Here is a 12,432-nt window from a genome sequence, read left to right on the forward strand (position 1 = left end):
ATCTATGTCTTTTCATTTTTTAGATCTGTGTCTTATGCTAAATATTTTATTATGGGCTTTTTGTTGAACTTATTTAAATAGGTAGAGTTCTCACTTTCCCCAGGCTTTGGCTGAAATATTGTGAGAATGCAATGATTAATAAATATAAAAGGAAACAGATGTTTGGAATTTATTTCATTGAGTATTTCTTTGCCAGATTGTTTCTCTTGCTTCTATTAGTTTGATGTATGGTGAATTCATTTCAGTGGCTACCAAGGTGCCTGAGTGTCTTATCAGGGATACGCATAGTTATTCAAATAGAGAAAAATTTAGTTTTTATTAACCACCTACTTAACTGCAAAAGCAGTCACCCCAGGTTGATTTCTTTTTTTTTTTTTTTTTTTTTTTTTTTGAGATGGAGTCTCGCTCTGTCGCCCAGGCTGGAGTGCAGTGGCGCGATCTCGGCTCACTGCAAGCTCCGCCTCCCGGGTTCACGCCATTCTCCTGCCTCAGCCTCCCGAGTACCCAGGTTGATTTCTAAGCAGAAAGAAAAAATGTAAACTTCTTGTGTTCAGGGAATGCTGTACCAGATAGGAGCGAGACAAGAAATTCAAGGCATTGCATTTTCAGATACATTTTGTTTCTAAGTTCAAATTCATTGATTTTCTTCTTCTTTTTTTTTTTTTCTTTTTGAGACAGAGTTTTCTTCTTGTCACCCAGGCTGGAGTGCAGTGGTGCGATCTGGGCTCACTGCAACCTCCGGCCTGGGTTCAAGAGATTCTCCTGCCTCAGCCTCCCAAGTAGCTGGGATTATAGGCACGCACCACCATGCCCACCTAATTATTGTATTTTTGCTAGAGATGGGGTTTCGCCACGTTGGCCAGGCTGGTCTCGAACTCCTGACCTCAGGTGATCTACCCGCCTTGGCCTCCCACAGTGCTGTGATTACAGGCGTGAGCCACTGTGCCTGGACTCATTCGTTTTCAAATACTTACATAGCTCCTACTCTCTGCCAAGCACCGTCCTAGCTAACATTAAAAATATTAGCTAATTTACTCTTCAAGCAATTCCATGAGGCATTATTTTATAGATGAGAAAACTAAGGTACAAGAGTGTAAGTAACATAGCCAAAGTATCAGCTGAGAAAGAGCAGAGTCAAATTTGAAATCCACATAGTCTGGCTCAGGAGCCTCTACCCTTAAGCATTGTGCTACCCTCCCTCTCTTCATAATGAGAAGGGTCCTTGAGGAGTTATCTACATAAAACAGACACTTGAGAAACTTTAAGAATCAATTAAATCTCAGCTCAGAATTGCAGACTCAGTAATGATATTTGCTTTCTGTCTGCCTGGAGACCTCACTGAAATTCTTGCAGAGGAAAACCAAGGAACAAAGAGAATGGATACGGACTTGTGATTTCAACAACTTTCTGGAATTCAAAAAGTGGTGGAAGGCCTGCTGAAGGATGAAACAGAATGAAGGAGGCCACACCCAAGAATATGGTCATATTGGGGTGTGGTGGTGGGAACTGCTTTTCCTGGGTCTCTGGCAGCTCTAGGTGGGGATAAGTCTGGTACAGAATGTAGGATTTTGAAGGAGCCTGAAAAAGGGGCTTACATTAAGACTTAGCAGTGTGTTAATGAAATACCTATGCCAGGTAGCCTCTGCCACAAGCTCCAGCCTCACCAAGGATAAAGGAAGCTGTACCCATTTATAAGTTGAAAAAACCCTGGGAAGAGCTAAGGTCTCAAGTGTGAGGATTGTTGCTCTTCGTTTTAGTATTTTCGTGGTGTCTGTTGTGAGGGATCCCCCATATCGCTTCCTACAGGTGTACCCAAAAGGGAAGTCCATGCAAATCCTTCAAATGTCAGAGGAGGACATTATAAGAGAAACTGGCATATCTATATAAGGACAGGGAAAATCCAAACCTGTTCCTAGAAATAAAAATTTAATTTTAACGCTTAATTATAAATAAAAGAAATCCAAGATTCCCAGAAATATAAGGAAAACAGCAGCATTAGAGAGAAAAGCCAAATGAGACAACTGCCCCCTGAAGAATCAAAGCTAATCCTAAAACAGGCACTCATTGCTTTTCAAAGTTCTGATAAGCATGAATTTCAATTATAATAGTGTAGTTAAATAATACCAATCCTTCAACAACACATTTCAAACATCAGTTAGCACTGTATATTAATTATGAGTAACTGCATAAAGTACAAATTTCATGGCTAGCTCTTCAGTCCACAAATCACTAAGTAAATAACATACACATAATGATCAGTCATCAATCATGATCATGTAACTTCTTTCAAAGTCTGGTGATTGGTCATCACACAACTGTCATTCAGTTCTCATGGAGACTGCAAAGATAGCAAAGTGTGTAGTTGTATCACCTCCTTATCTCCCAGTGATAAACCCACATAACATTTCACAAAAATGAATGTCAGAACAGGGAACTGGACAACAAAGACAAAAGCATATCAAAGAAACAAAAAGTGATAATGCTGGAAGTGAAATTTAAATCAAATGTAAATGGAGTTTAGAAAAAATAGTTGACGACGAGCATGTGGATACTACTAACACCTGAGAAGTTCCTCTGGCTGTGTAGCCAGAGGAACTTAGTGAAGGCAGATTTATTGACATGAATGAGGAAAGTTGTTGTGATGAAAAGAATGAAAATGCCCCAGAAGAGGCTGGGCACAGTGGCTCACGCCTGTAATCCCAGCACTTTGGGAGGCTGAGGCGGGTGGATCACTTGAGGTCAGGAGTTCGAGACCAGCCTGGCCAACATGGTGAAACCCTGTCTCTACTAAAAAAAAAAAAATACAAAAATTAGCCAGGTGTGGTGGTGCATGCCTGTAATCCCAGCTACTCAGGAGGCTGAGGCAGGAGAATCACTTGAACCCAGGAGGCAGAGGTTGCACTGAGCCGAGATCGCAACGCTGCACTCCAGCCTGAGCAACAGAGCGAGACTCTGTCTCAAAAAAAAAAAAAAAAAGAAAGAAAGAAAATTCCCCAGAAGAAGTGACGCCATCAACAAACTTTATAATAATGAAAATCTAGAAATATTTCATGACATTGAAAGCACAAAGGATAAAATGTTGGAAGCTGATTCAAAGTTAATAGTATGATGGTTCCTCAAGGCATGGAAAAAAATTCTTTTTTTTTTTTTTTGAAACAGAGTTTCTTGCTCTTGTTGCCCAGGCTGGAGTGCAATGGCTTGGTCTCGGCTCACTGCAACCTCCGCCTCCTGGTGGATAGGAAGGACCACAGGGAAGGAAGAGGAGGATGTGTTTTCTATCAGCAAAGGGGAAGAAAAAATATTTCTTAGTTATTTGGTCACAGAAAACGATTCTTTTTTTTTTTTTTTTGGAGACGGAGTCTTGCTCTGTAGCCCAGGCTGGAGTGCAGTGGCGCTGTCTTGTCTCACTGCACCCTCTGCCTCCCGGGTTCAAGCAATTATCCCGCCTCAGCCTCCCACGTAGATGGAATTACAGGCACACACCACCATGCCCAGACAATTTTTGTATTTTTAGTAGAGACAGGGTTTCACTGTGTTGGCCAGGCTGGTCTCAAACTCCTGACCTCAGGTGATCCACCCGCCTCGGTCTCCCAAAGTGCTGAGATTACAGGCATGAGCCACCGCACCCAGCCTAAAAAATTCTTATAAGTTATATGATGAGTGAAGAAAGCAAACACTGTTCAAATAACAACTGAATATTTTGAAGAAAGAAATATAATGCTTTAATTCTCAATATTGCTAACGTATTAGATGACAGTGTGTTAAATATTAGTTTTACTTTTTTATTATTTTCCATTTCCCTTTACATTTATAACTCACAGTAAGAGGCTTTTTAATGTTTTCACAAAAATTTTACAGGTCCATAGAACAATAAAAAAATTCCCTATTGATTATTATGATCCTCTTGCATATTCTCAGCTTGTATGGTTCTTTTCTTTTTGTTTTTTTGTTTTTTTGTTTTTGAGACAGAGTTTTGCTCTTGTCACCCAGGGTGGGGTGCAGTGGGGTGATCTCAGCTAATCACAACTTCTCCCTCCTGGGTTCAAGTGATTCTCCTGCCTCAGCTTCCCGAGTAGCTGGGACTACAGGCGAGCACCACCATGCCCGGCTAATTTTTGTATTTTTAGTAGAGACGGGATTTCACTATGTTGGTCAGGCTGGTCTCGAACTTCTGACCTCATGATCCACCTGCCTCAGCCTCCCGAAGTGCTGGGATTACAGGTGTGAGCCACCACGCCCGGCTGTATGGTTATTTTCTTTGGTCTCATACTACTGAGCAAAATGAGGATTGTCTGTATCTATATGCCTTTTTATATGGAAAGAAACTACTAGATTAAAAGAGATTTAAGAAACACGTCAACCTATTTGATCTTGATTCAAACAAGAAGTAAAAACACTCAAGGAAATTTGAACGCCATTGGATATTTCATGATATTAAAAATTGTTGAGGGCCAGGCGTGGTGGCTCATGCCTGTAATCCCAGCACTTTGGGAGGCTGAGGTGGGTGGATAACCTGAGGTCAGGAGTTTGAGATCAGCCTGGCCAACATGGTGAAACCCTGTCTCTATTAAAAATACAAAAATTAGCCGGGCATGGTGGCACACGCCTATAATCCCAGTTACTTGGGAGGCTGAGGCAGGAGAATCGCTTAAACCTGGGAGGCAGAGGTTGCAGCGAGCTAAGATCACACCACTGCACTCCAGCGTAGACACAAAGCGAGACTCCGTCTCGAAAAAAAAAAAAAAAAATAGAATTGTTGACCCCGCACAGTGGCTCATGCCTGTAATCCCAGCACTTTGGGAGGTCACGAAGGGAGGATAGCTTGAGCCCAGGAGTTTGAGACCAGTCTAGGCAACATAATGAGACACCCATCTCTAAAAAAAAAAATTAGCCGGGCATGGTGGCACACGCCTGTGGTCCCAGCTACTCAGGAGGCTAAGGTGAGAGAATCACTTGGGCCTGGGAGGTCGAGGCTGCAATCAGCTGTGATCACACCACTGTACTCCAGCCCAGGAAACAGAGCGAGACCCCCATCTCATTTAGAAAAACAGAAAAAAAAAGAATTTAAGAATTGTTACTGTTAGTTGTTATAATGATATATAATTATGTTTTTAAAAGAGTCATTCGAGCGGGGCGCAGTGGCTCACACTTGTAATCCCAGCACTTTGGGAGGCCAAGGCAGGTGGATCACTTGAGGACAGGAGTTCAAGAGCAGCCTGGCCAATATGGTGAAACCCCGTCTCTACTAAAAATACAAAACAATTAGCCAGGCATGGTAGCGGGCACCTGTAATACCAGCTATTCAGGAGGCTGAGGCAGGAGAATCGCTCGAACCCAGGAGGCGGAGTTGCAGCTAGCCGAGATCATGCCATTGCAATCCAGCCTGGGCAACAAGAGTGAAACTCCATCTCAAAAGAAAAAAAAAGAGTCATTAGAGTGATAATAGCAAGGTGGCAGAATAGGAAGCCCCAGTCCCGTTTTCCCACGGAGACACCAACTTAACAACAATATGCGGACCAAACTGCCTTTGTGAGAGCTCCAGAAACCAAAGAGGTCGCAGCACTCAGGTGCGTACAAAGCCAAGACTAACTACATCAAAGTGGGTAAGAAAATGTCTTACATTTTGCCAACCCTAACCCCTCTGCGTTCCCAATGCAACATGGAGTGGAAGAAAACTCACAACTCCCAGCTTCTCCCTGCCAAGGGAAAAAGAAGAGTGAAACATGAGCCCAACATCCTGGCTTTCTGGGGGCCGTCCAACAGACTACTTTCTGCCTTGCTTGACTCAGTGAACTCAGAGCAGAAGACGCATAGTTTGGATGATAGGTTGGGGACCACTGAAAAAGGTAAGTGTCACATGAGTTGCTACAGGAAAGCTGCAGTACTGAAGACAGACACCAGAGGGAGTAAGAGATCATGAACTCCTGAGAAAACGGGCAAGCCTTTTAACTAGAACATTACACACACACACACACACACAAGCTTTTTAACTAGAACATTACACACACACACCCACAAACCCGTGCCAGGAGCAGTAGCTCATGCCTATAATGCTAACACTTTGGCAGGCCAAGGCAGAAGGATGGCTTGAGCTCAGGAGTTTTGAAACCCGCCTGGGCAACATAGTGAGAACTTGTCTCTACAAATAAAAAATAAATAAAAGAAAATTACACACACAGGCCCAGAGAAAATGGATCCCTGGCCGGGCGTGGTGGCACGTTCCTGTAGTCAAAAATTAGCCGGGTGCAGTGGCGCATGCCTGTAGTCCCAGCTACTCAGGGGTGCTGAGGCAGAAGAATCGCTTGAACCTGGGAGGCAGAGGCTGCAATGAGCCGAGATCATGCCGCTGCACTCTAGCCTGGGCAACAGAGCGAGACTCCATCTCAAAAAAAAAAAAAAAAAAAAAAAAAGAAAGAAAGAAAGGAAATGCATCCCCAAGAAAGGTTTGAGAAGTCGCCCACCATCTATGTCAGGCTTCTTGTGAAGATCTCCTATATGAAGCCAGTCCATATGGACTGGAAGAGACAATCCCAACAAGATGTCACAAGACATACAAAAGAGGGAAACATGGCTCATACGGTTCGGATGTTTGTCCCCTCCAAATCTCATGTTGAAATGTGATTACCAATGTTGGAGGTGGGGCCTGATAGGAGGTGACTGAATCATGGCAGTGGATCCCTCATGGATGGTTTAGCACTATCCCCTTGGTTATAAGTGATTTCTCACTCTGAATTCACACAACATCTAGTTGTTTAAAAGTATGTGGCTCCTCTCCCCTTGTTCTCTTGCTCCCACTTTTGCCATGTGATGTGGCTGCTCCCACTTTGCCTTCCGCCATGATTAAGTTTCCTGAGGCCCTCACCAGAAGCAGATGCTGGAGCCATGCTGGTATAGCCTGCAGAACCATGAGCCAATTAAACTTCTTTGCTTTATAAATTACCCATCCCCAGGTGTTTCTTTACAGCAACACAGAAACAGACCAACACAATGGCCCAATCAAATGAACAAAATAAATCTTCAGCAACCAACTCTAAAGAAGTAGAGAACTATGAATTAACTGATAAACAATTAAAAATAATCATTATAGAGAAGCTCAATTAGCTAAAAGAGAACACAAATAGACAACTAAACAAAGTCAGAAAGACAATGCATGAATAAAATGAGAATATCAATAAAGAAATTAAAACTATTAAAAAGAAAAACACACATTCTGGAGTGGAAAAATAGCTGAACTGAAAAATTCACCAGAGGACAAATATGTAACAAAGTAGAGTTTTCGTAAGTGATTAAAGTTAAGTTGTATCAGTTTAAAATAGATTATTATAACTTTAAGATGTTTTATATAATCCCCATAGTAACTACAAAAAAAATACTTATAGAAGATACACACAAGGAAAAGAGGAGGGAATCAAAGCATGTCACTACAAAAATTAATGAGGCCGGGCAAGATGGCTCACACCTATAATCCCAGCACTTTGGGGGACCAAGGTGGGCAGATCACCTGAGGTCAGGAGGTGGAGACCAGCCCAGCTAACATGGTGAAACCCCATCTCTACTAAAAACAAAAAATTACCTGGGCATGGTGGCGCATGCCTGTAATCCCAGCTACTCTGGAGGCTGAGGCAGGAGAATCACTTGAAGCCAGGAGGCGGAGGTTGCAGTGAGCCGAGATCGCGCCATTGCACTCCAGCTTGGGCAACAAGAGCGAAACTCCATCTCAAAAATAAATAAATAAATAAAAATAAACTAATGAAACATAAAGGAAGGCAGTACAAGAGGAAGAGAGAAAAAATAGTTACAAGATACACAGAAAACAACAAAATGGCAATAGTAAGTCATTCATTATCAGTAATTAATTTAAATATAAATGAATTAAACTCCCCAATCAAAAGACACAGATTGGTTGAATGAATTAAAAAAAAAAAAACAAGATCCAACTGTATGCTTTCTATAAGAGATTCACTTTAGATCTAGGATGCACATAGGCTGAAAGTGAAAAAATGGAAAAAGTTATTCCATGCAAATGGTAACCAAAAGAGAGCAGAGGTGGCCATTCTACTGTCAGACGAAGTAGACTAAGTCAACCAGACAGAAGATCAATAAGGAAACAAGACTTGAACATTATAGACCAATTAGACCTGATAGACATATAGAGAACACGCCATCCAACAACAGCAGAATACACATTCTTCTCAAGTGCAGAGATCATTCTCCAGAATAAATCACAGGTTAGGCCACAGAACAAGTCTTAACAAATTTAAGAAGACTGAAATCATACAAAGTAATCGTTTCCAACCACGATAGAATGAAACTAGAAATCAGTAGCAGAAGGAAAACGGAAAATCCACACACATGTGGCAATTAAAGAGCAAACTATTAAACAACCAATGAGTCAAAGAAGAAACCACAAGAGGCCGGGCACAGTGGCTCACGCCTGTAATCCCAGGACTTTGGGAGGCCGAGGCCTGTGGATGACCTGAAATCAGGAGTTCGAGACCAGCCTTGCCAACATGGTGAAACCCCATTTCTAAGCCAGGCACGGTGGCTCACGCCTGTGATCCCAGCACTTTGGAGGCTGAGGCAGGCAGATCACTTGAGGTCAGGAGTTCGAGGCCAGCCCAGCTAACATGGTGAAACCCCGTCTGTATTAAACATACAAAAAATCAGCCGGGTGTGGTGGCAGGAACCTGTAATCCCAGCTACTCGGGAGGCTGAGGCTGGAGAATTGCTTGAACCTGGGAGGCGGAGGTTGTAGTGAGACAAGATTGTGCCACTGCACTCCAGCCTGGGCAACAGAGTGAGACTCTGTCTCAAAAAAAAAAAAAAAAAAAAAAAGAGAGAGAAAGAAAAAGAAAAAAATAAATCACAAGAGAAATTAGAAAATATCTTGAGACAAATGAAAATGAAAATACAATATATCAAAACTTATGGAATGCGGTGAAAGCATTACCAAGAAGGAAGATTATAGCTGTAAATGCTTACATTAAAAAAGAAGAAATAGGCCAGGTGTGATGCCTCATGCCTGTACTCCCAGATCTTTGGGAGGCTGAGGTAGGAGGATTGATTAAAACCAGGAGTTCAAGACTAGCCTGGACAACATAGTGAGAACCCATCTCTACAAAAAATAATAAATAAAAAATAGCTGGACATAGTGGCCCTGTAGTTACAGTTGCTAAGGAGGCTGAGGTAGGAAGATTGCTTGAGCCCAGGAGTTCGAGGTTGCAGTGAACTGTGACCCTTCCACTGCACTCCAGCTGGGGTGACAGAGCCATACTGTATCTCTAAGAAAAAAGAAGAGGAAATAGCTAAAAGAAACAACCTAATTTTATACCTCAAGAAACCCCTAATTTTATACCTCAAGAAACGCTTTTTATTATTATTGTTCTTATTTTTTTATTTTTTTTTGAGACGGAGTCTTGCTCTGTCGCCCAGGCTGGAGTGCAGTGGCGTGATCTCGGCTCACTGCAAGCTCCGCCTCCCGGGTTCAAGCGATTCTCCCGCCTCAGCCTCCTGAGAAGCTGGGACTACAGGCGTCCGCCACCACGCCCGGCTAATTTTTTTGTATTTTTAGTAGAGATGGGGTTTCACCGTGTGTTAGCCAGGATGGTCTCAATTTCCTGACCTCATGATCCGCCCACCTCGGCCTCCCAAAGTGCTGGAATTACAGGCGTGAGCCACTGCGCCCTGCAAGAAACCCTTTTAAACCTCAAGAAAAAGGAGAAAAAATGAAACCCGAAGTTAGCAAAAAAAAGGAGGAAAATAACTAAGATTAGAACAGAGATATAAATGGAATTTAAAAATGAAACTAAGAGTTGGTTTTTTGAAAAGGTCAAAAAATTGGCAAACTCTGAGCTAGATTAACCAAGAAAAAAGAGAGAAGATAACTAAAATTAGAAATGCCATATGGGACATTATAAATGATGCTACAGAAATTAAAAGGATTAACAAGAATACAATGAACAATTATACACCAGCAAATTGGGTAATCTAGAAGAAATGGATAAATTCCTAGAAATATACAGCATACCAGAACTAATTCATGAAGAAATAAAAAACCCAAACAGACCTATGACTAGTAAGGATTTAATCAGCAACCAAAATACCTCCCAACAAAGAAAACCCCAGGACCACAGGACTTCACAGGTGAATTCTACAAAACATTTTAAGAAGAACTAAGATTTAAAAAAATTCAATAAACTAGGATAGAAGGAAATTACCTCAATGTAATACAAGCTATATATGAAAAGCTTACAGCTAATATTACACTCAATAGTAAACAATTGAAAGCTGTTCCTCTAAGATGAGGAACAAGGCAAGGATGGCTCACTCTTGCAACTTCTATTTAACATAGCAGTGGAAGTCCTAGAGCAATTACACAAGAAAGAGAAATAAAATACATCCAAACTGAAAGGAAAGAAGTATTTATTCACAGATGACATGGTATTATATCACAAAAGATTGAAAACTAATGAACAAATTCAGCAAAATTGCAGCACACAAAATTAATACAAATATCAGGTGCATTTCTATACACTAACAGTAAATAATCTGGCAAGTAAACTAAGAAAACAATCCTATTTTCTTGTCTTTTTTTGTTTTTGTTTTTGAGATGGAGTCTTACTCTGTCGCCCAGACTGGAGTGCAATGGCATGATCTCGGCTCACTGCAATCTCTGCCTTTAGGGTTCAAGCAATTCCCTGCCTCAGCCTCGTGAATAGCTGGGATTGCAGGCGCCTGCCACCGTGCCCGTCTAATTTTTTTGTATTTTTTAGTAGAGACGGGGTTTCACCATCTTGGCCAGGTTGGTATTGAACTCCTGACCTCTTGATCCACTCACCTCGGACTCCCAAAGTGCTGGGATCACAGGGCGTGAGCCACCGCTCCTGGCAACAATCCAATTTTCAATAGCACCAAAAAGAGTAAAATGCATAGGAATAAACTTAACCAAGGAGGTGAAAGACTTATACACTGAAAACCACAAAATATTGCTAAAAGAAATAAAAGAAGATTCAAATAAATGTAAAGACATCCTATGTTTATGGATTAGAATACTGAATATTGTTAAGATGTCAATACTACCCAAAGAGGTCTATCTACAGATTCAACACAATACCTATCAAAATACCAATGGCATTTTTGCAGAAATAGAAAAATGTATCTGTAAATTCATGTGGACTCTCAAGGGATAACAAATAGCCAAAACAGTTTTGAAAAAGAATAGGATTGGAGGACTCACACTTCTGATTTCAAAACATATTATAAAGTCACAATAATTAAAGCTCTGGTAGGTAGCATGAGCATAACAACAAACAGGCCAATGGAATAAGATAGAGAGTCCAGGAATAAATTATTGTGTATGTGGTAAAATTGTCTTTAGCAGGGGTTCCAAGTCCACTGAATGGAGAAAGAACAGTCTCTTCAACAAATAGTGTTGGGAAAACTGGATATCTACAGGCAAAAGCCATAAAGTGGAACCCTTACATGATACACAAAAATTATGCTTACCTTACACAATATACAAAAATAAACTCAAAATGGATTAAAAACTGAACTGTAAGACCTAAAACTATCAAACTTCTAGAAGAAAACATAGAGGAAAGGCTTTATGACATGGGATTTGGCAATGATTTGTTAGATATGATGCCAAAAACATAGGCAATGAAATCAAAGATTTCAAAGTTTGATGTGATTACATTACATCACACTTTAAAGCTTTTGTCCATGAAAGTACATAGCTGAGAGAGTGAAAAGGCAACCTACAAAATGAACGAAAATACTTGCAAATCATCTACCTAATAAGGGGTTAATATCCAGAAAACATAAATAACTCATACAACTCACAAAAACAAAAATAACTCACTTCAAAAAAATGGGCAAACAGCCAGGCGCAGTGGCTCACGCCTGTAATCTCAGCACTTTGGGAGGCCAAGGTGGGTGGATCACCTAAGGTCAGGAGTTTGAGACCAGCCTGGCCAACATGGTGAAACCCTGTCTCTACCAAAAATACAAAAAATTAGCTGGGTGTTGTGGTGCATGCCTGTAATCCTAGCTATTCGGGAGGCTGAGGCAGGAGAATCGCTTGAACACGGGAGGTGGAGGTTGCAGTGAGCAGAGATCACGCCATGGCACTCCAGCCTTAGCAACAAGAACGAAACTCCGTCTCAAAAAAAAGGAAAAAAAAAAAAAGAGCAAAGGACTTGAATAGGCAGTTCTATAAAGAAGGTATAGAAATGACCAATAAGCTGGCCAAAAGCGGTGGCTCACGCCTTTAATCCTAGCACTTTGGGAGGCCAAGGTAGGCAGATCATGAGGTCAGGAATTCAAGACCAGCCTGGGCAACATGGTGAAATCCTGTCTCTACTAAAAATACAAAAATTAGCTGGGCGTGGTGGCATGCGCCTGTAATCCCAGCTACGTGGGAGGATGAGGCAG

The sequence above is a fragment of the Homo sapiens genome, chromosome 8 (genome assembly GCF_000001405.40).
Source record: "Homo sapiens chromosome 8, GRCh38.p14 Primary Assembly".
NCBI classification, from domain to species: Eukaryota; Metazoa; Chordata; class Mammalia; order Primates; family Hominidae; genus Homo; species Homo sapiens.